The 25,495-nt window shown below is 37.4% G+C and overlaps 1 protein-coding gene across 5 annotated transcripts in view, besides 1 other annotated feature; it reads right to left on the bottom strand.

Annotated features, from left to right (window-relative positions):
* The window catches only part of WDR70 (WD repeat domain 70), a 374,118-nt gene that overhangs the window by 147,392 nt on the left and 201,231 nt on the right, over positions 1-25,495 (bottom strand). For all 5 annotated transcript variants that reach the window (NM_018034.4, NM_001345998.2, NM_001345999.2 and 2 more), the window contains one exon: positions 806-980. In NM_018034.4, coding sequence (NP_060504.1) covers positions 806-980 — 175 coding nt within the window. The remainder of the gene's footprint in view (positions 1-805; positions 981-25,495) is intronic.
* Positions 10,951-11,151: a silencer, noted in NCBI's record as "peak5232 fragment used in MPRA reporter construct". NCBI's record gives its function as "represses an SCP1 promoter by STARR-seq MPRAs in K562 erythroleukemia cells {active_cell/tissue: K562}" and the evidence as "EXISTENCE:reporter gene assay evidence [ECO:0000049][PMID:32103011]".

Raw genomic sequence — 25,495 nt, 5'->3', positions numbered from 1 at the left:
AGAACAGTGCCTAGTTTATAGTATGTAGTAAACATTTACTGAATTAATAATGTGGCCAGAAACTTTTATAAAATAAGGATATCCAAAATGTGTTTGTGTAGAATTTTATTTTAACACTGGTGTCTAGACTCATTCCATTTAACAAACATCTTTGTTTTACCATCTATACATAAAACAAGAAGCTTTTTACAGCTTATTGGTAATTGACAGAACTAGCCAAGGGCTTTTGTATTCATTATTTATATGGATTCTATCATTCCTTCCAATTCCAAACTTTATTTATTCTACTAATAGCCTGAAACTGTAAAGAAAAAACCTGAAACCTATCTATATGAAATGTCATAGAATATTAAAATATTACTTAAATTACTAGAAAAATAACTACAAAACAACTGATGGCTCATCTTGGACTTTTCATGTTTTTCTTAAATCTTTTAAAGGGTATTTTCTAGTTCTCTGCTTAGTGTTGTTTTATATTACTATTAAACACTTCACTTTCAAAATCAAATAAACTGAGATGCCATATAATAAGCTGCACTATGGTTTTTAAATTTTATACCAAAAGAGTAAATTTATTTTAAAAACAAAATATAATATGTACTGAAAAATACAGAGTTGAAATGTCTGCTGAAATGCTGTATACTACAAAAGTCTCAACGTTTGATCACCTAACACTGAAGTTTAAATTAGGTCTAAATTCAGGAAATTCACCTTCATAATACTTTAACACGTTTGTCTTTGTAAGGTGGCCATCTTCTAAGGAAAGATTTAAGGTGGCCATGTTCTAAGAAAAGATTTAACTTACAGTCAAATTTCGGTCCCAGATCTGTATGCTTCCATTCTGGCAGGCAGCTGCTATGAGGTTTCCATCTCTACTATATGTGCACGTAGTGGGAATGACTTTTTTGCCTTGCATCGTCCGTGGTTTAAACACACTTTTTTGCTTCTTTGGATTTTCAACTTCCCACGTCCTCACAGTCCTAAAAATGATCAGGAGATTTTTCATTTATTTAAAAAAAAAAAGAAGGAGGGGGGAGGTTAAAATAGGGAAGAGTCCATAAAGACTGCTTCGCCATTTTGGCACATAAATCTAATAATTATTTTAAAATAAAATAAGACATGCACTGTAAAAGATTCTCTATTTATAAATGAGGTTACTCATGGAAATAAAGTAAACCATCTGAATCATGTTGTCATCAAATTGAAGAGGAAGAGGCAAATTCTACTTCCAATCGATCAACGTTATTAATTCTGTCCCTCTCTAAGTGGCCTCCAAATTATTCTGACTTTACCCCTGATCAGCCAAACTGCTTAATGTCTGCCCCCTATATAGGCAGGTATTTGTAAATCACTTACATGTGTTAATGCACTGTTTTTAACATACACCAGAAAACACACTGAAAAATAAGTCATTAAAAGAATAACATCCCACTCTAGAGCCCAAGCAAAGATCTCATTCCCCTAGGGGAGAAGTAGAAATACACCTGTCTGTTTCTGAGCTTTTGCCAAGCAACAAGCAACAACAGCTTAGTCCTGGAGCAGAGGTGTAACACCCTTGTACTCACAGTCCTAAGCGAAGGAGCACTGTCAGTAAGGGAGGGTAGAACAAACACCACAAGACCCAGAGGGAGAATTTCAAAAGCTTAAAATACAGAAAAACAAAGATGAGGTAAGCAGCTTCTTGCCAGAAACTATGGAAGCCTAACCACTATGGAACAACATCCTTAAAGTTCTAAAAGAAAAAACTAATTGTCAATCTAATATTCTATAGCCAGTCAAAATATATTTTAAAAATAAGGTGAACTCAAGACTTTTTCAAATGGACAAAAGCTGAGGTAATTCACTACCATCAGACATCTACTAAAATAAGCATTAAAAGACATAGGTAGAATAAATATGACAAAAGTGGAAATCTGAATCTACACAAAGAAAAGAAGAATACTACAAATGTAAAAATGAAAGTAAATGTAAAATGCATTTTAAAAAATGTTTAGATCTCTTTAAAAAATAAATTGATGTAAAGCAAAAATGGTAAAAAACAATGCACTAATGTACTTTGAGTTTTATAACCATGTCCAAGTAAAATGTATGACAATAATTGTAAAGGTTAGGAGGAAGAAGGAAAATATGTTGTTTTATACTATATTTGAAATAGCACAGTATTATTTGATGAGAGAATTTGATATGCTAAAGATGTATATTACAAACTCTAAAGCAATTGCTATCATATTTTTATAATCAATACATAATAATGAAGATACAATGAAAAATTCTATCAAAAACAAGATAAGAAATCAAAGCAATGTGATAAGCATAAAACAAAAAGCAATATGGCAGATATAAATTCAACCTCATCAATAATAAAATTAATTAGAAATGGTCTAAAAATTCTAATTGAAAGACAAAGATTAGAAGCTTTTTAGTTTCAATGCAATCGCTTTTGCCCATTTTTGCTTTTATTGCCTGTGCCTTTGGATCACATATAAAAAATCTAAGCCCAGACGAATGTCAGGAAGGTTTTTTCCTGTTTTCTTCTAGTCGTTTTACAGTTTCAGGTCTTACATTTAAGTCTTTAATCCATCTTGAGTTGATTTTTGTATATGGTATGAGATAAGGGTCTAATTTCATTCTTCTGCATGTGGATATCCAGTTTCTTCAACACCATTTACTGAAGAGACTGTGTGTTCTTGGCATCTTTGTTGAAAATCAATTGGCTGTAAGTACCTGGGTTTATTTCTGGACTATATCATGTTCCAGTAGTTGATGTGTCTGTTGATTACAATAGCTTTTATTTTGAAATCAGGGAGTGTGATGTGATGTCTCCAGCTTTTTGCCTTTTGCTTATCACTGCCTTGGTGATTTGGGATCTTTCGTGGTTTCATATGAATTTTAGGGTTTTTTTTTTTCTATTTCTATGGAAAATGACATTGGAATTTTGAAAGGGATTGCATTGAATTTGTAGATCACTTTGGATGGTTTAGACATGTCAGCAACATTAATTTTTCTAATCCATGGACATGGAATATCTTTCCATTTATTTGTGTCCTTTTATTTTTTTTATTTTTTTTTAAGACAGTCTCGCTCTATCGCCCAGGCTGGAGTGCCGTGGCGCAATCTCGGCTCACTGCAACCTCCACCTGCTGGATTCAAGCAATTCTCCTGCCTCAGCCTCCTGAGTAGCTGGCATTACAGGCGCATGCCACCACGCCTGGCTAATTTTTGTATTTTTAGTAGAGATGGGGTTTCACCATGTTGGTCAGGCTGGTCTCAAACTCCTGACCTTGTGATCCACCCGCTTCGGCCTCTCAAAGTGCTGGGATTACAGGCATGAGCCACCGCACCCGGCCTATTTGTGTCTTTTTCAATTTCTTTCATCAATGTTTGACAGTTTTCTTTCCTTTTTTTTTTCTTTTTTTTTGAGACAGAGTCTCACTCTCTCACCCAAGCTGGAGTGTAGTGGCACAATCTCCACTGACTGCAGCCTCCGCCTCCCAGGTTCAAGTGATTCTCCCACGTTTAAGTGATTTTCCCGCCTCAGCTTCCCGAGTAGCTGGGATTACAGGCGCCCGCCACCTTGCCTGGCTAATTTTTATATTTTTAGTAGAGACAGGGTTTCACCATGTTGCAGGCTGGTCTCAAACTTCTGGCCTCAAGCGATCTGCCTGCCTTGGCCTCCCAAAGTGCTGGGATTACAGGCGTGAGCCACCACACCTGGCCAATAGTTTTCAGTGTACTGATCTTTTAACTCCTTGGTTAAAGTTATTCCCTAAGTATTTTTTTAATGTTATTGTAAATAAAGTTATTTTCTTAATTTCTTTTTATATATATATACTTTAAGTTCTGGGGTACATGTGCAGAATGTGCAGTTTTGTTACATAGGTATACATGCGCCATGGTGGTTTGCTGCACCCATCATCCCGTCACCTACATTAGGTATTTCTCCTAATGTTATCCCTCCCCTAGCCTCCCACCCCCCGACAGGCCCCAGTGTGTGACGTTCCCCTCCCTATATCCATGTGTTCTCATTGTTCCACTCCCACTTATGAGTGAGAACATGCGGTGTTTGGTTTTCTGTTCCTGTGTTACTTTGCTGAGAATGAGAGTTTCCAGCTTCATCCATGTCCCTGCAAAGGACATGAATTCATCCTTTTTTATGGCTGCATATATTCCATTGTGTATATGTGCCACATTTTCTTTATCCAGTCTATTACTGATGGACATTTGGGTTGGTTCCAAGTCTCTGCTGTTATGAATAGTGCCACAATAAACATACGTGTGCATGTGTCTTTTTCATATAGATTGTTGGCAGTGTGGAAGTAGAAAATCTGACCAGACCAATAACAAGTAAGGAGAATGAATCAGTAATAAGAGTTCACCATCAAAAAAAAACCAGGACCTGATGACTTCACTGATAAATTCTACCAAAGAGTTAAAGAAGAATTAATACCAATTCTTCTCAAACTCTTCCAAAAAAGTTGAAGAGAAAGGGAATAATTCTAACCCCATTTTACAAGGCTAGCATTGCCCTGATACCAAGCCAGACAAGGATACTATAAAAAAGAAAGCTACAGAACAATATCCCTAGTGAACATAGATGCAAGAATCATCACAAAAATGTTAGCAAAGCAAATCTAACAGCTTATGAAGAAGATAATTCACCACGATCAAATGGGATTTATCCCAGGTATGCAAGGATGGTTCAATATATGTAAACCAATAAATATGATTACCACAGTAACAAAATTAAGAACAGAAACCACATGACATCTCAATAGATGCAGAAAAAGCATTTGATAAAATTCAACATTGTTCATGATAAAAACTCACAACAAAATAGGTGTAGCAGGAATGCATGTCAACATTATTAAAGGCCATATATGATAAGCCCACAGCTAACATCATACTCAACAGTGCAGAGTTGATAGCTTTTTCTCTAAAACCAAGATCAAGAAAAGGATACCCACTTTGACAATTTCTACTCAACACAGTACTGGAGTCAATTAGGAATGAAAAAGAAATAAGTTATCCAAATAGGAAAGAAGTGAAATTGTCTCTGTTTTTTGTTAACATTATCTTACATACAGAAAACTCTAAAGACTCTACCAAAACAAAAAAGCAAAAACAAAAACAAAAAAAGTGTTAGAGCAGGGAAACAAATTCAGGAAAGTTGTCAGTTACAAAATGTTTGCTATTTTATGGAACTTTCCAACTGCTTTCCAGAGTGGCTGTACCCTTTTACATTTGTACCTGTAATATGTGAGTTTTAGTTTCTTTGCCTCCTCATCAACAGTTTTAATTGTCTTTTTTATTATAACCATTCTAGTGGGTATGAAAAATGCCATTGTGATTTTTATTTGCATTTTCTTAATAACTAAGGATGGCAAGCATCTTTTCGTGTGCTTATTGGGCATTTGCATATCTTTCTTTAGTGAAATATGTACTCAAATCTTTTGCCCATTTAAAAAATTAGGTTGTCATTTTATTGAATTCTAGATGTTCTTTTTTTTTTTTTTTTTTGAGACGGAGTCTTGCTCTGTCGCCCAGGCTGGAGTGCAGTGGCGCAATCTCGGCTCACTGCAAGCTCCGCCTTGCGGGTTCATGCCATTCTCCTGCCTTAGCCTCCCGAGTAGCTGGGACTACAGGCGCCCGCCACCACGGCCGGCTAATTTTTTGTATATTTAGTAGAGATGGGGTTTCACCGTGTTAGCCAGGATGGTCTCGATCTCCTGACATCATGATCCACCCGCATCAGCCTCCCAAAGTGCTGGGATTACAGGAGTGAGCCACTGCACCCAGCCGAATTCTAGATGTTCTTTAAATATTCTGGATGTCAGTACCTTATCAGATACATTATTTGCAAATATTTTCCCCAAGTCTTCGGCTTATCTTTCTTTTCACTTTCTTGATGGTATCTTTTGAAGTGCATAAACTTTTAATTTTGATGAAGTCCAACTTATCTTTTTTTTCCCTCTTTCATCATTTGTGCTTTTGGTGTTGCATCTAAGAACTCACTGCCTAATCCAAGGTTAAAAATATTTTCTCCTATGTTTTCTTTAGGACCTTCTTTACACTTAAATCTATGACTTATTTTGAGTTAATTTTTATATGGTAAAGTAAGGCTCCAAATACACCTTTTTTTTTTTTCTTTTTTGAGATGGAGTCTTGCTCGGTGGCCCAGGCTAGAGTACAGCAGGACGATCTCGGCTCACTGCAAACTCTGCCTCCCGGGTTCAAGCAATTCTCCTGTGTCAGCCCCTTGAGTAGCTAGGAGTACAGGCACGCGCCACCACGCCTGGCAAATTTTTTGTATTTTTAGTAGAGATGGGGTTTTGCCATGCTGGCCAGGCTGGTCTCAAACTCCTGACCTCAGGTGATCCACCCACCTCAGCCTTCAAAAGTGCTGAGATTATAGGCGTGAGCCACCACGCCCGGCCCCAAATTCACCTTTTTACATATGGATAACCAGTTATCCCAGCATCATTTGTTGAAAGGACTACTCTTTTTACATTGAATTGTTTTGGCATCTTTGTGGAAAATCAATTGGCCATAAATGTAAGGGTGTAAGTGGTTATTTATTGCAGCATTCATTCCTAAGTCTAGATATCATAAGACCTTTTTATTTTTCCAAACCCTTTGATTGAATGAATATTCTGAGTATGTTCCAGAGCCATGTAACTTAAATAACTGTAAGTAGAAAACATGAGCACCAAATAAATTTCTCCTAAATGCAACTGTATTCTTAGTGCAATTACTGTGTACATGTATAAAAATTGTGTCCAAAGTGTTTATAAACATTACTCTGGGTTTTATATAGAAGTTAGAACATTTTCCCATTTCTGTGAATTTTAATATCTTAATATTTGGGCATTTTTTAAAAGAAGGTCTTCCTTGTTAGATTCATTCTGCCAAGCAAGCCTGCAAGTTTTAGACTTTTATATCACTCAAGTTGCTTATGTAGTCCTTCAAGAAAAATTAAACCAAGATCTCTAAAGTGATTTCCATGCAAAATTAATGCTTCCCTTTACCTCTGCCAAACTCTGTGATGCATTTATGCGGCAGATGCCAGAAAGTTCAGAACTTGTAACTGGAAAGAATTCAAAATTTTAAGACAGAAAGCATTTGCGCCTGGGGCAATGTAATGATCCCACCTGTGTCGTTTTCTTGTCTTCTGGATGTTTTCATTGTGTGTCCAGAAAGGCCCAGGCAGATCCTTATTCTATTTTTAAATCTTTTTTATGAAACACAGTTTTAATTTTACAAGACCAGATCTCACTCCAAGTTTCAAAATATGTGTTCTTCAGCATAAAATGTTTTGACAGATATCTAATGGCCTAGCACTTTAGCATCCATTTTTTAGGCATAGACTCAGAGAACTGGAGCCATAAAATCATAGTGTAATTGGTCACTATCAGATGCTGGATAAATTTGTACTTCTAGGTGAACTGCTTTCTTTCCCTTTCCCTTATTGTGAAAACTGTCTCAATCTGTTAATATACCACTGAAATAAATGGAAATATCTGTTGGACTTACTAGCTTTGATATTTTATTTATGGTCTATGAAGAAGAGCAGAAAAGACCTGGTATTTATTGAGTGCCTACTATGTTCTCCAAGCACTATCCTAGATATGTTTATATCCCTAATCTCATTTAATCCTCACAAACCCTTATTGTTGGTATTATGATCCCATTTTTAGAAAGGAAGAACTTTAAATAAGCCAAATAATGACACTTTATGTCTGTGTGTGGTCTTTCATATCATAATTCTAAAGTATCATCTGGTATTTGTGATGTTCAGTTATTTAAAAAAACTATCATAATTTATATCTACTGTTGCAAAGTTGAGGGTAGAACGAAGAGACAAATGTGGTATTCAACTTTTTGTACTTATTATTTTTGGGAAACATAGCAAACAGACATAAGAGCTAAGTAAGTGATACAGAATACATTCAATAGGGGGAAGGCTGTATAATTCTCAGATACAAATCATGCTGGAACAACTGGATATCCCTATGCAAAAAAAAATCAACTTTGAGTCATACCTCACACTACATACATATAAAAGCTAATTTAAATAGTTCATAGATGTAGTTGTAAAACTTAAAATTGTGAAGGACAATGTCTACCACCCTGCGTAAGGCAAAGATTTCTTAAATACAATCCCTAAATATATTGGTAAATTAGACTGTCTTAGTCATTTTGTGTTGCTATAACAAATATCTGTGGCTGGGTAATTTGTAAAGAAAATAGGTTTATTTAGCTCATAGTTCTGCAGGCTAGGAAGTACAAAAAGCATGGTGCCAGCATCTGCTTGGCTCCTGGTGAAGACCTCATGCCTGCATAGTGAAAAGGAGAAAAGGAGCAGGCAAGTGCAAAGAGATCACATGGTGAAAGCAGCAGCAAGGTAGAGAAACCAAGAAAGCCGGACTCTTTTTAAAAACCCACGCTTGTGTTAACTTGTATCCAGAATATCTAAAAAGCTCTGAAAATTCAACAATAAGAAAAATAAATCAATATTTAAAATGGGAAAAGATTTTTACAGACATTTCATCAAGTTAGAGAAACAGATGATAAATAGTATATGGAAAGATCCTTAACATAACTAGTCATTTCAGAAATGCAAATTAAAAATCACAATACACTATTACTACAAACCTATAAGAATGGCTTTAAAAAAAAAGCTAACGATACCTAGTGCTGATGAGGATATGGAGCAATTGGAATGTGCATACATTGATTGTGGGAATGCAAAATGGAACTGCAACTGTGGAAAACAGTTTCTTATAAAGTTAAATATATACTTCCCATATCACAAGCAATGTCATTTCTAAGTGTTACTTAAGATAAATGAAAATTTATTTTTTAAAAAACAATAAAAAGCTGTAGATGAATAATTACAGCAGCTTTGTTCACAATTGCCCCAAACTGGAAACAACCCCAAATCTTCATTCTGTTAATGCACTAAATAAAGTAGTACATCCATAGAGTGAAATTTTATTCAGCAATAAAAAGTAATAGAGTACTGACATATAAAACAACTCAAATACATTCTGCTTAAAGAAGCCACACTCAAAAGACTACACACGATATAATTCCAGTTATATTAACATTCTGAACAAGTCATAACTATAGGGATAAAAAATAGGCCAACAGTTGCCAAAGGTTAAAGGTGGGGATGGAGGGGTTTCTATAAAGAGGCATCACAAGGGAAGTTTTTGGAGAGACACAACCATTCATTTGTCAAATCACACAGACCTACACATGTAAAAAGGCAAACTTTAAGTATGTTAGACTCCAATAAATGTAACATAATTATATATGCAATATACATATATATGTGATAAATATCAATAAATCTACTTCTCTCTCATTAAGAGAAATCTAGATTTAGTTACTCCAGAGCTGGTTTGGTGGTTCCAGAGTCAAGGACCAGGGTACCTTCTATTCTATTGCTCTGACAAAATGCTGTTTGTGCACAGCCATCATATCCACATTACTGGCAGAGGAAAGAGTAAAAAGGAAGGAGTGAAAAGGGTCTGTAACCTTCTTTCGGAGACTTCTTCAAAGTTTCACACTACCCTTTCGTTACACCTCATTGGTCAAAACATAGTTGCCACATTTAATCACATCTAACTGCAAGAGAAGCTAGAAAATACAGAATTTGAGAAGAAAGGAAATGTATATTGGAGTATGCAGCTAGTAATATCTGTTATATTTCTGTTGGTTTATAGATGCCAAGGTGTCTTATAACACTGGGGTTCTGTCCCCTTGCTCTTCACTAGGTTGCTTTATATCGGAGCTACAAAGTGCCTCTCTATTATTCCTGTGTACTGTTTCCCTAGCCCTTTCTTGAGCCTACATTTTGGTAGTTACTAGCTTGTAAAATTTGGTTAGCGCAATCTTAACATTATGTCAGGCACTGGGTTTGACAGCTCTGAAAACTGACTTTCAGTAATGTTAAGCGATTAAGTTCCCAAATAAAGCGGAGAAGAAAGCTTGCAAAAGTAATTTATAAACAAAACCCCCAAAATTTCCTTTGGAATATATCATAAATATTTGACAGCTTCAAAGAAAGCGCTGGCTATTCAAAATCTACACATTTAACATTCAATTGCACCTCACTGTATATAGATTAGACCTCAAAGTTGATTCCTAAAATGCTTGGATAAAAAGTGAAATTATTTCTTTCATTCATGCAACATTTATTGAGGACCTAGTATTTATGTTCCTTCTATATTCAAGAAAAGGTAAAGGCCCTAGGCATACACAGATTAAACAAAACAAAACAAAAACAAAATCCTTGCTCTCAAGGAGCTCTTCTTGTAAAAGAAATAAATGTTAATATGTGTAATTACAATTTATGTGACCTGAGTAAAGTAAGTTCTCTAGTTTTGTACTTTTCAAAATTGTTTAGGCTATTCCAAGTTGTTTACATTTCCAGATGAATTTTAGAACCAGCTTATCCAATTTCTATCTCCAAACATTCAACTGGAATTTAATTGAGATTACATTAAATCTAAACATGAATTTGGGAAGAACTGAAATGTTAATACTATTGACTCTTCTGATCCACGAATACAGTACATCTTCTCATTTATATAGATCTTTTAGTTCTCTCAGAAATGTATTATGGTTTTCAATGTATAAATACTACACACACACATGGCCAGATTTCCATATGTATTATGCTGTTAATCACTGGTATTATTTTCACAATTTTATTAACAATTGTTTGTTGCTAGTCAACAGAAATAAAATTGACTCATAATTACTGACTTTGTATCCTGTGACCTTGCTAAACTCACTTATTAGTTCTAATAGCATTTTTGTAGATTCAAAAGGATGCCCTCTCTCACCACTCCTATTCAACATAGTGTTGGAAGTTCTGGCCAGGGCAATCAGGCAAGAGAAAGAAATAAAGCGTATTCAGTTAGGAAAAGAGGAAGTCAAATTGTCCCTGTTCGCAGATGACATGATTGCATATTTAGAAAACCCCACTGTCTCATGCCAAAATCTCCTTAAGCTGATAAGCAACTTCAGCAAAGTCTCAGGATAAAAAATCAATGTGCAAAAATCACAAGCATTCCTATACACAAATAAAAGACAAACATAGAGCCAAATCATGAGTGAACTCCCATTTACAACTGCTTCAAAGAGAATAAAATACCTAGGAATCCAACTTACAAGGGATGTGAAGGACCTCTTCAAGGAGAAGTACAAACCACTGCTCAACGAAATATAAAGAGGACACAAACAAATGGAAGAAGATTCCAGGCTCATGGATAGGAATAATCAACATTGTGAAAATGGCCATACTGCCCAAGGTAATTTATAGATTCAATGCCATCCCCATCAAGCTACCAATGACTTTCTTCACAGAATTGGAAAAAACTAAAGTTTATATGCAACCAAAAAAGAGCCCGCATTGCCAACACAATCCTAAGCAAAAAGAACAAACCTGGAGGCATCACACTACCTGACTTCAAACTATACTACAAGGCTACAGTAACCAAAACAGCATGGTACTGGTACCAAAACAGAGATATAGACCAATGGAACAGAACAGAGGCCCCAGAAATAACACCACACATCTACAACCATCTGATCTTTGACAAACCTGACAAAAACAAGAAATGGGGAAAGGATTCCCTTTTTAATAAATGGTGCTGGGAAAACTGGCTAGCCATATGTAGAAAGCTGAAACTGGATCCCTTCCTTATACCGTATAAAAAAATTAATTCAAGATGGATTAAAGACTTAAATGTTAGACCTAAAACCATAAAAACCCTAGAAGAAAACCTAGGCAATACCATTCAGGACATAGGCATGGGCAAGGACTTCATGACTAAAACACCAAAAGCAATGGCAACAAAAGGCAAAATTGACAAATGGGATCTAATTAAAGAGCTTCCATACGGCAAAAGAAACTACCATCAGAGTGAACAGGCAACCTGCAGAATGGGAGAAAATTTTTGCAATCTACTCCTCTGACAAAGGGCTAATATCCAGAATCTACAAATAACTTAAACAAATTTACAAGAAAAAAACAACACCATCAAAAAGTGGGTGAAGGATATGAACACAGACACTTCTCAAAAGAAGACATTTATGCAGCCATCAGACACATGAAAAAATGCTCATCATCACTGGTCATCAGAGAACTGCAAATCAAACCCACAATGAGATACCATCTTACGCCAGTAAGAATGGCAATCATTAAAAAGTCAGGAAACAACAGATGCTGGAGAGGATGTAGAGAAATGGGAACACTTTTACACTGTTGGTGGGACCGTAAACTAGTTCAACCATTGTGGAAGACAGTGTGGCGATTCCTCAAGGATCTAGAACTAGAAATACCATTTGACCCAGTGATCCCATTACTGGGTATATACCCAAAGGATTATAAATCTTGCTACTATAAAGACACATGCACACATATGTTTATTGTGGCACTATTCACAATAGCAAAGACTTGGAACCGACCCAAATGTCCATCAATGATAGACTGGATTAAGAAAATGTGGCACATATACGTCATGGAATACTATGCAGCCATAAAAAAGGATGAGTTCATGTCCTTTGCAGGGGCATGGATGCAGCTGGAAACCATCATTCTGAGCAAACTATCACAAGGACAGAGAATCAAACACCGCATGTTCTCACTCATAGGTGGGAATTGAACAATGAGAACACAGGGCAGGGAACATCACATCCTGGGGCCTGTTGAGGGGTGGGGAGCAGGGGGAGGGATAGCATTAGGAGAAATACGTAATGTAAATGACGTGTTCATGGGTGCAGAAAACCAACATGGCACATGTATACCTATGTAACAAACCTGCACGTTGTGCACGTGTACCCTAGAACTTAAAAGTATTTTAAAAAAAAGAGAGAGAGAGACAGAGTCTTGCTCTATTGTCCAGGCTGGAGTACAGTGGTGTGATCACAGCTCACCATAACTTGAACTTCTAGGTTCAAGCAATTCTCCTGCCTCATCCATCCAAGTAGCTAGGGCTATGGGCACATGGCAACATGCCTGGCTAGTTTTTATTTTTTGTAGAGATAAGGTCTCACTATATGTTACCCAGACTGGTCTGGAACTCTTTGCCTCAAGCAATCCTCCTGCCTTGGTCTGCCAAAGCACTGGAATTACAGGGGCAAGCCACCGTTACTGGCAGAAATTTTCTATATAGACGATTATGTGGTCTCTTTAATAGACACAATTTTATTTCTTCCTTCCAATCAGTAAGCCTTTCATTTATTTGTCTTATTGCACTGGCTGGCAATTCCAGCATATAGAAATAATGAGAGTTAACATCATTGCTTTTTTCTCAAGCACAGGGGGAAAGTATTCAGCCTTTTTCCATTAAGTGTATTTCAGATTGAACATCCCTAATCCAAATATCCAAAATCCAAAGTGCTCCATAATTTGATACCTGATTTCATGTGATGGGTCGCAATCAAAATGCATGTACACAACACACAGTTCATTCAGTCTGCCACTGTTTGTTGTTGCTACTGTGTAACAGTTGATACACGTATTCTGGTGATGCTACTGTGCTGCGCAGTTAACCTGAACACATTACTTTTTTTTACTGTATTAATATGTCATATTTTTCAGTTAAGTACTTATGTATGAATAAGTGTAAGAAAATGCTTATCAGTGACATATAAATTGAGATTCAGGAATGATGATGATGCCAAAACTCTATAGTTCTCCACATGTGTAACTGAGACAATGACATTTTTGCCTTCTAATGGTTCAATGTACACACACTGTTTGATGCAAAAAATTTTTTTAAATATTATATAAAATTACCTTCAGGCTATGTGTATAATGTATTACGAAACATAAATGAATTTTGTACTCAGACTTGGGTCCCATCTCAAGACATCTCATTACATATATGCAAATATTCCACAATTTGAATCCCAAACCCAGAACACTTCTGAGCCCAGACATTTTGGATAATAGATATTTGACCTGAACCTGTAGGTTTTTCATAGATGCCCTTTATCAGAACTAAGAAATTCCATTCTATTCCTACTTGGCTGAGAAATTTTATCATGAATGAATGCTGGATTTTTTCAAATGCTTATTTTACATCAATTGAGATGATGATATACCTTTTCTCTTTTTTAAGTCTGTGCATTATATTGTCTGATTTTCAATCCTTTCAATCCTCCTTTGCACTCTTGGTTTAAATATGACTTAATCATGATGTATTATCCTTTCAATAAACTGTTAGCTTGAACTTGCTGATGTTTCGTTAAGGATTTTTGTTTCAGTTCATTGGGGATATCAGTCTATGGTTTCCTTTTTCTGAAGTGACTTTGCGTTAGGCATCAGGGTAATGTTGGCCTTATAAAATAAGTTGGAGTGTGTTTCTTCTTTTAGTTTCTGGAAGAGTTTGTATAGAATTGGAATTTTTTCTTTCTTAAAGTAGAATTCAACAGTGAAGCCATCTAGAGTTTTCATAGTGGAAAGGTTTTTAATTACACATCCAGTCTTTTACACAGGACAGGAATATCTCAATTATTTGTGTCTTATGAATGATCTTTCATAATTTGTGTCTTTCAAGGAAATTTTTCCATTTCGTCTAAGTTATCAAATATGTTTGTATAAAATTGTCATAAAATTCCCAATTATCTTTCAATGTCATTAAGTTCTACAGTGATGTCACCTCCTTCATTCAAGATATCGGTGTCTGATATTGCCTGCAATTCTTTTTGAGATCCAGCAGGTTAGAGTGCAGTGGTGTGATCTCGGCTCACTGCAACCTCCACCTCCCAGGTTCGAGAGATTCTCCTGCCTTGGCCTCCCAAGTAGCTGGGATTACAGGCACGAGCCACTATGCCTGGCTAACTTTTGTATTTTTAGAAGAGATAGGGTTTCACCATATTGGCCAGGCTGATCTCAAACTCCTGAGCTCAAGTGATCCACCCACCTCGGCCTCCCAGAGTGCAATTACAGGGGTGAGCCATCACACCTGGTCTCCTTTTTTAATCATCAATACAGCTAGGGATTTATCAATTTGATTTGTCTTCTCAAATTGGTTATTTTTCTTTGTTTTTTAATTTCAGTTTTATTCATCTGCTCTTTCCTTTTTATTATTTTCTTCCTTCTGCCTACTAGGTTAATTCTTTCTCTCTCTGATTTTTGTTCTGTTTTGGTTTTTTGGGTCTCCAGTTTCTTAAGGTTGAATCTTGGATACCTGATTTGGGGCCCTTATGTTTTTCCAGAAGTCTGAAATCAAGGTATCTGCAGGGCCACACTTCCTCTAGAGGAACTGGGTAGAATCCCTCGTAGCCTTTTCAAGCTTCTAGTGGCTGGCACCATTCCTTGGCCTCCTTGGCTTATGATCACATCACTCTGATCTCTGCCTTCATCTTTATGTTGCTCTTCCCCCTTTGTGTCTTCTCATTTTCTGTCCTTTAATGAGGGTACTTGTCGGATTTAAGGCCTAACTGGATAATCCAGGATGATCTCATCTCAAGATCCCTAACAATTAAATTTGCAAAGACTTTTTTCAAAAAAGGAAACATTCACAGGTTCCAGGAATTTGATGTGAAAATAGCTTTTTGGGGGGCCACCATTGAACCCACTGTACACAACATAGATGAACCTCAAAACACACTCTCCCAACTAAAAGAAGCTAGACACAAGAGATGACATACTACATGATTCTATTGATCTGAAACATACATAAAAGGCAAATATATAGATGGCAGATCAGTACTTGCACAGGGCTGGTGGTAAAAATAGGGAATAATTAAACATTGTCTCTTTTTGGGGTGACAGAAATGCTATAAATTAAATGGTCACAATGGTTGTACAAGTCTGTAAATATATTAAAAATCATTGAATTTCCCCATCCTTTTCTATTTTCAGCTGTAATCAGTATAGCTGAAAATTCCATTAAATTCCTAGAAAAGACCATCAGTAATTAAACATTTCTGAAGGAAACTTCAGCAAACCTCAGATAAGGAAGTTGATCAAATGGAATTGGAAGAGATTCCTAATTTAAAACATATGCCAATATTCTTCTCAGCCAAAATTTACACTCTGCTCTTATAAACCAAATACCTCTAAAGCTCTTTATGAAGCACTTGTAAAATATTTTATTTCATTAAATCAAGCAGCAAGAAGTTAGGCACGGTGGCTCACGTCTGTAATCCCTGCACTCTGCAAGACCAAGGCAGGCGGATCACTTGAGTCCAGGTATTCAAGACCAACCTGGGCAACATGGCGAAACCCTGTCTCTATACAAATACAAAAATTAGCTGGGTATGGTGGCCAGCTAATTCTTGTATTTTTGCAGAGACCTGTAATCCCAGCTACTCGGGAGGCTGAGGAAGAAGAATCACTTGAACCCAGGAGGCAGAGGCTGCAGTGACCTGAGATGGGCACCACTGCACTCCAGCCTGGGCAACAGAAAGAGACCCTGCCTCCGAAAATAAAAAATAAAAATAAATAAGCAGCAAGAAAAATCAGTTTGGTAGCTGATTAAGAAGGGAAAGAATGCTACATTTCATGGAGAGTTCTATTCCAAGTGACCTCCTCAACCACTGCAGGTGAAACAGTACTCAACAGCTTTCAACCAACATTAAATTAAAATCCTGTACCAGATGTCAAATGTTCACCAACTTAAAAGCTGGTATTCAAATAGGATATACAGAGATACATAAACATATATATTATGCATACATACTTATATACCTATTACATTGTGTTCATATATTTATATATATTAAATATATCGTGTGTGTGTGTGTGTGTGTGTGTGTGTGTGTGTGTGTATGTGTGTAGGTATATATGTATGTATGTATTCACCTCTATATCTCAATCAATGATCCAGCTGGGCACAGTGGTTCACACCTATAAACCCAACTACTTGTGAGGCTGAGGCAGGAGCATCACTTGAGGCCAGGAGTTCTAGACCAGCCTGAACAATATAGCAAGACACTATCTTAAAAAATAATAATAGGCCGGGCGCAGTGGCTCATGCCTGTAATCCCAGCACTTTGGGAAGCCAAGGTGGGTGAATCACAAGGTCAGGAGTTCGAGACTAGCCTGGCCAACATGGTGAAACCCCGTCTCCACTAAAAATACAAAAATTAGCCGAACATGGTGGCCAGCGCCTGTAATCCCAGCTACTAGGGAGGCTGAAGCAAGAGAATCGCTTGAACCTGGGAGGCAGAGGGTTACAATGAGCTGAGATTGCGCCACTGCACTCTAACCTGGGTGACAGAACAAGACTCTGTCTCAAAATAAATGAATAAATAAATAAAAATAAAAATAAAAATTAGCCAGGTGTGGTAATGCATGCCTGTAGTCCCAGCTACTTGGGAGGCCGAGGTGGGAGGATCACTTGAGCCCAGGAGTTCAAGACTGCAGTGAGCTATGATGGCACTGCTGCACTCCAGCGTGGGTGACAGAGTGACTCCCATCTCTAAAAATAAAAATAAAAAATAAGTGACCTTAAATATAGTATGGAGAGTGGGGGAAAAAAGAAAGTTAAGGGGGAGGGAGCAAGGAAGATGAGCGAAGGGGAGGGCAGGGAAGGGAACTCAGATATACGTTCTATTATGTTGAGGTGATGGGGTTCCTTTTTTCCCTCTAACCTCTTTTAATTTAGCCTATCATGAAGTTCACAAAAAATATAGTACCGTGTTCTAAGATAACACCCTTGGGTGTAGATGCTAAGCACTATTCTGCTCAGAGTTATGGCAAAGATGCTTCATATTTCTTTCAAAATAATCTATAGAGAACTTCATATACCTTCCAAATGCCAAATTAACATCTTCCAGTTACCCATTTTGACTTCCTTTCTTTTCTTAATATCTAGCATAGTTTTGTACAAATAAGTCTTTGACAAATTAAAATTCTATACTAGATGTATATTATATATGTCTTAGTATCTATCTATTGATCTTTAATACTACCCTATTCTTAAGTTCTCTTGAAATGTTCCTCAAAATAATGTTTCAATTAACTTTGGTTAAGTCATAAACACTGTTCCTGGCCCTGAAGAAACCAGGATGAATAGAACAGGACTTTTGCCAACATGGTGAAACCCTGTCTCTACTTTTAGTAGAGACAATTAGCTGGCGTGGTGGTGTGCACCTGTAATCCCAGCTACTTGGGAGACTGAGGCACGAGAATCACTTGAACCCGGGAGGTGGAGGTTACAGTGAGCTGAGATCACGCCACTGCACTCCAGCCTGGGCGATAGAGTGAGACTCTGTCTCAAAAAAAAAAAAAAAAAAAGAATAGGGCTTTTGCCTTCACAGAAATCACAGACTGGCTGATGAAAATGTTTTATAAGTATAAGCCATAGGACTACAATTCAACAAATATAAATTAAATACTTTCCACAAACCAGGTACCTTGGTGGATACATGGAGATACAAAAGTGTCTTTTCTCCAAAAATGCATAACCTAATGGGGAAGAGAGGAAAACATGCCATCGCCTCATGAGGCAGTCACCCAGAAAAAGAGGTATTTCATTGGGAAAGATCTAGGAAGGATTCTATAGAGGTGTGACTTTTGGGGAGAGCTGAGATTCTGTGGCTGAAATTTACAGACTAGAGATGGGGATGAAAATGGAAACGGGTGTCGGGGTGGGGAGTGCATCCTAGAAATTGGTGTAAAAGACGCAAAGAGGAGGGGGCTTAAAATGCACAGTCTATATAGGGAAAAAAAAGTAGTTTGCTTTGACAAGAGGATGAAGTACACAGTGGGCACAAGTAGAAGACGAGATTGTAAAAATATTGGCAAGTACCAGATTGTAAAGGGTATCCTGTGAGATGTGTTGAGATTACAGGCTTTATACTCTAGGAGACTGTGAAGCCACTAAATAGAAGAGTGACTTAGGTTACACAATCAGACTTGTGTTTTAGAAAATCACTTGGATGGCAGTAGGGAAGACCAGAGGGGACAAGTCTGTAGGTTGGACAGTCCAAGTGAAAGATGATAAAGGCCTGTTCTAAGGCAATGGAACAGGGAAAGTGAGGAGAAAACATTACTTTGAGGTGGCTAGAGTCATGGTACTATTCAGTGAAGCAGAGCTGTGGAAGATATGGTATAAGATAGAAGGTAATAATTTTGGTAGAAGTGGCAATAGCAAGTTAAGTGTCAGAGAGCTGTGTGACATTCAGGTGGAGAATCTTGTTGTATAGGGTCTGGATGAAAGAAATACAATTAGGAATTATTAGAATGTAGACAGAGATATGAAACCATGGGGACTGCAAAAGGCAGACCCTCATGGAACAAACACTGAGAGAATAGGCAGCAAAAAGGAAAAGGAGCTAGGCAGGCCATAAGAAAGGGATACGAGGAGAGGGAAGTGTTAGGAAGCCAAAAGAGAATGCTTTTAAAAAGAAGGTGTGTGCATGTTCTCACTCATAAGCGGGAGTTGAACAATGAGAACACATGGACACAGGGAGGGGAACATCACACACTTGGGGCCTGCCGGTGGGTGGGGGGCTAGGGGAGGGAGAGCATTAGGAGAAATACCTAATGTAGGTGACGGGTTGATGGGTGCAGCAAACCACCATGGCACGTATATACCTATTTAACAAAACTGCACATTCTGCACATGTATCCCAGAACTTAAAGTATAATAATAAAAAAAAGGTGTGATCATGAGTATTAAATTCCAAAGAGATGTTAAGTAAAAACAGGACTGAAAGGCCTTCACAGGATTTAATAGACAAGAGCTCACAGATGACTTCTGCAAGAGCAATGTCAGTAGAATGATAAGGGTAGAAATCAGAAAGCTATGGCATTAGGAGTGGGAAACAATGAGGGAGAGATAAAGCAGGCAAAGAGTGTTCAAGCATAAAATGCTATTTAAGTACAGAAGGGAATCAATAAAACCTGGCCAAGACAAAGAGGAATGGAATTGAGGATGCCAGAATGGGGAGAGAAGGTAACACTCGATTTGGCTCCTAAATGATATGAAGGGTTGTAAGGTAGATTTGAAGGAAGGAGTTTATGGCAAAAGGAAAATCAAGAGCAAAAGGCCTTGAAAGGGGTCTTGAAAGGAATGGTAAATGATCTGATATCTGATATAGTTACAACTTGAGGGGTAGAAGTGGGAGGAGGTGCACACATATCTGGAGATGATGACAGAAATAGGCTAGTACTAGATTGGGAAAGACCTTGCAAGCCATTAGGGATTATGCACAGTACTCTGTAAACCTTGGAAAGGCAACAGATAACACTAGTAAGGGGGCTGAGATTATGACAGGCAGGGCAGGAACCCAAGCAATGTGTCCCAAAGTCAGCCTAGACTGACGCTCCAGTAACAGAGCCTGACCCATGGCTATACAGTATGGGGCTAAAAAGGAATGAAGACAGTGTCCCAGACAAAGGTACTGGATCAAGAGCAGAATGATGGTATTTTTCACATAAATGGAGAATTGGAGAAGACAGAAAGACACTAAAAAATGAAATGAGAATAGTAAAGATCTAGTGCATCTAATAGTACAAATTTCTGACCAATTGGAAGTGAAAAGGAAGAAGTCACTGATAGAACCCTACTCTTCTCAAGAGGGCACTGAGAACAAAGAGAAGAATTCTGTAACTCTCCAACTGCACTTCTATGTTGTACATGATTGAGGAGTGGGAAACACACAATGAATCCATCTGGGGACATAAAACAAGTCACTCAGCTCTATTCCACTAATTACTCTCAAAACATGTATCAAGATAAAAAATTGTATGTGGATTTGGCCTTAAAAAATGGACAAGGAGGCTGGGCGCGGTAGCTCACACCTGTAATCCCAGCACTTTGGGAGGCTGAGGCGGGAGGATCACGAGGTCAGGAGTTTGAGACCAGCCTGGCCAACATAATGAAACCCTGTCTCTACTAAAAATGCAAAAAATTAGCCAGGCGTGGTGGTGTGCACCTGTAATCCCAGCTATTTAGGAGGTTGAGGCAGGAGAATCACTTGAACCTGGGAGGCAGAGGTTGCAGTGAGCCGATATCGTGCCATGGCATTCCAGCCTAGGCAACAGAGTGAAACTCCATCTCCAAAAAAAAAAGTGGACAAAGATCTAGTATGTCTGTAACTACAGATGACTGTTTTTTATTTATGTTAAGAAGTAATGCCACGTTACTACCTTCTGACAGAAGCAAAGCAGAGGTGGAGGTGGAATATGGGATATTTGGGAACAGAGGAAAGAGATTATGGTGGTCAGCATAGGACCAAGTGGATAGAACAAATCTTACAGAAATCTGCTTCTATCCACCCCTTTACTGTGAGTGCTGCCAGGGCTCACTATGGCTTCTGGAACAACTTCTTCTTGGGTATCTGCAGGTGCTTACGGTTTCTCAACAAACTGCTAAAGTTTAACATAATTATGGCTATTATTCTTTATTTTTAATGCCTCTGAAGTATAATACATATACTAATTTTTCACTCGACCAACCAAGTTTAAAAGCACCAGACTCTACATCTGCAAAACAGATTTGAAAGATAAAATTTTATATGCCAAAGAGTGATTCAGTGCAAATTTGAAAAGGAGATAAATATTCATCTTTTGAAAGGGAATTGATGATTTTTCCTGACTGAAAATTTAAACAATGCTTAATCAAGTCACAGAGTTAAGTAATGAAGTCAATATTACTTTAGAAGTTTCCACTAAAAAAATGAACCTTTTCGATATCTCTAACAAATTAATCTACAACAGAACTCTTGTACATGGAGAATTATTCGAAGAAATCGTGAAATGTCAAAATGTGTTTGATAATGAATTCAGAATACCGGACTAAGAATCTGAATAAGATTCCTGTAAGACTCATAATCATGATCGCTAACATTTAAGTACACATAATGAAGTATGCACTATTCTAAAAGCACTTTACCATCTAATCCTCACAACTCTCTGAAGAAGGTACTACTATTATTTCTATTTTGTAGAGACAAAAAGTATAAAAGGATTAAGTAATAATTAACGTAAACATTCAGTTAAGTGAAATAATCAACTAACAGACCTAATGTGCTGTCATGGCACATTACTGTCTACTTCACATTTCATAGTCCTGTCTATATGAATCCATGAAAACAAGTAAGGTCCTAACAATTTTGGATTTGTATGCTATCAATATTGTTGGTTCAAGCAGTACTTTCACTTGAGGAAGAATACTGCAAATTTTCCATATCTATAAAAGTAACTCAAAATAAAGTTAATATTATTTGTATTTTGTACCTTTTAGGGATAATTACTCTGAAAGTCTTGCTAATGTGATGTATGTTAAAGAAATGAAGTCCTTTCTCTTTAACAAAATGAATATCAACTTTTCTCCCAATTAACATAATCAATGAGAAAACACTTTCAAAGGACACAAGTATAAGGGATCCCTCCTACTATGACTGCGTGTCATAGTCAATCATCCTTTCAAAGGACACAAGTATAAGGGATCCCACCTACTATGACTGCGTGTCATAGTCAATCATCCTTTCAAAGGACACAAGTATAAGGGATCCCACCTACTATGACTGCTTGTCATAGCCAATCATCCCTTATGCTTTCTCCCCCCATATCTGTGACACATTTGTTCATAAGCCAGGCATGTTTCCCTCAATAAGCTCTGCTCTATTCTTTTTTTTTTTTTTTTTGAGACAGAGTCTTGCTCTGTCACCCAGGCTGGAGTGCAGTGGCGCCATCTCGGCTCACTGCAAGCTCTGCCTCCTGGGTTCACGCCATTCTCCTGGCTCAGCCTCCAGAGTAGCTGGGACTAGCCCGCCACCACGCCTGGCTAACTTTTTGTATTTTTAGTAGAGAAGGGGTTTCACGGTGTTAGCCGGGATGGTCTCAGTCTCCTCACCTCGTGATCCACCTGCTTTGGCCTCCCAAAGTGCCGGGATTACAGGCATGAGCCACCACACCCAGCCTCTATTCTCTTAAATAACTCTAGGGGGATACATTTTCTATGTGTACGGGCGGAAGAACTGCATGTAGGAGAAAAAATCACCAACAGCTAAGGCACAGAGTTCAAATGAGAAAATAAAGTAGATCCAGAAAAGCTTTTAAAACTTTGCACAGAGGCTATGAACTACTAGGATCAACAGAGCAAGTGGAACCACCTAAGCAGCATTTTACCATCAGAAACAGGCTATTTGATAAAAAGTACTGGTGGCGACATCCTAAAGAAGTGCTACGCACAAGGACAGCCCATGCTGAAACAAGATGAAACTTGGCATACTCTCCATATGTTTTCCAGTTACTTAAGACCTTTAGGATTACACCAACAATCACAGAGATGCTCGTTGCTTACAGCTCCACCATTAGGTACAATAATATGAATCAAAGCTAAACATGTGTTAGGTCTGTATTATATCAGCACTATGTTAAGGGCTTTACACATGTTATCTCATCTAAGCTCAGCATTTTACCATGGTTACTTTTATTATCCCCATTTGAGAGATGATGTGAGAAGTTATATAATCTGCCCATGGTGACACAGTTAGTAGTAGCAGAGTTAGGATTCTAATCCAGGTCAACCTGGTTGCAAAGCATACCCTTCTACTTTAACATCTAAAAGATAACTGTGTGTGAATCTATGGTTGTATAATCATTATATAAAATTGGGTCAGACACTGCTAAGCAAGCAGAGCATTCTTATGTTATATTGCTGATATAGGGAAATCTGATACAGGGACTTCGAAAAGTATTCCTACAGTATTGTTAGTCCAGTTTCCAGAGGCTGTAATCAATACACGTTTTCCTGAAATATTAAAAGGCTTGCTTTCATAGTTTGGTTTTCACCTATCCCTATAGTTAACTAGTCTAAATGCAATGGACAGCACAACTCTTAAATTTACTCCAGAAATGAGGACCAGAATGCAACAGTAAAAATGACCCATTCTAAAAATGACCCATTCTATAACTTAAAATGACCCTTACTATACCTAGTAACTATTAGTTACTAACTAATACTGTAACAAATAAAAACTGTAACTAAGTAGTGAGACCATCAAATGTCAAACATCCTAGTAAGACAGGTACTACTAAAGATTTTTTTTTTTAAGTTTTCAAACATTTCCCTCAATCCCAGGAAATGTCTGAAGCACTATGAGAGCTAGGATTTGGAATTTAGTGAAATCTCTTCTAACTTAGGCCTTATGAAGGGACATGCCCCCTAATATTCAGCAGCCAGTCAAAGCAACACAGCTGTCTCCATGTAAAACACTTGGGATTTATCAGACGAAATTCTGATAGCTTTGCCTCTCTGCTGTCCACCTCTAGATCTGTGTATAGTTTTGTGCACTAGGGGTTAGGGTGACAAGGGTCTGCGAGGTACCTAAAATCGTATATATGTGTACTTTTTACAGAGAAGTTCTACAGTTTCCCCTTAGATCATCAGAGAAATCTAACAAACATTAAAACATGGCTCTAAACTTTACCCCTACCCAGAGAGCTGATTTTATATTTAGACTGCATTGCTTTGATCTCCTCTTAGGATGGCTTTTCTTCATTTTTAGGTTCTGCTTGGACTTGTGTTAAAGAGTGCAACAAAAAATAACGACATGAGTAACAGTATAGAAAAATGATTGAGGGTGAGGACAATGAAGTCATTTTGCCTGTTTTTAACTCCTGTCTCCTAACTGGTGATATTGAACAAGTCACTTGACCTCTCAGAGCCTCAGTTTCCTAATGGGAAATACTTTATAGTTATTTTAAAGAATTGGATGAGAAATATACACAAAGCACTTAATACAGTCTCTTGCCCATAGTAAATGCCCAACTGTGTTTATTGTTCAGGATACTGTCTACATTCACCAGTGTTCCCTATATGAGGGTCCTGGGAAAAGTTTGATTGATTGTGTTTTTTGTTTAGGATACTGTCTACATCCACCAGTGTTCCCTATATGAAGGTCCCTGGGGAAAAGTGTTTCTTTCTTACTCTGTTGAAAAGAAAGGTCTATTTTCTCCTCTTGGAGATCCTGAGGCTTAACTGAATATGTCTCCAATTTTGTCATAGTCACTGGACAGTTTGGAGATGAATCTATAACCTAACTTCTCACGAGCAGCAAGACCTTCTCTTAATAATTCTTTGTGAACTAACTTTATTCCTTCACCCTAACCTTCCCATGGCCCTGAATGTTTCATATAATGTTGTATTACATTTATTGTTTTACATTTCTTCAAAATCATTTTTGGAATGAGGTAAGGTGTGTGAAAACAAGCAATCAAATTAACAAATCAAAAGAAAAAATAAATAGTGCTGTTTTGAACTGATAATAATTTGTGTTGAAAAAAATAAAGTTACTTTCCTAATTCATGGATGTATTGGCTACACAGGGGAAAAACTTAACTCTCGGGACTTCTAAAAATAAGATCTGCCCTAGACCAGTTTAGTCTCTCAAAGGAAATCCGAGTCAAGAGACATCAGTCAAAAAACAAAACAAATCTGGTATGATCATGAGAACTTAACATGAAGAGTGATGAAGTAAAGAGAGAATATAGCAACATGCTATTCCTTTGAGG

The sequence above is a fragment of the Homo sapiens genome, chromosome 5, assembly GCF_000001405.40.
Source record: "Homo sapiens chromosome 5, GRCh38.p14 Primary Assembly".
Taxonomy (NCBI): Eukaryota; Metazoa; Chordata; class Mammalia; order Primates; family Hominidae; genus Homo; species Homo sapiens.
Note: the sequence above shows the minus strand (reverse complement) of the source record. Positions and strands in the feature narration are given on the sequence as shown.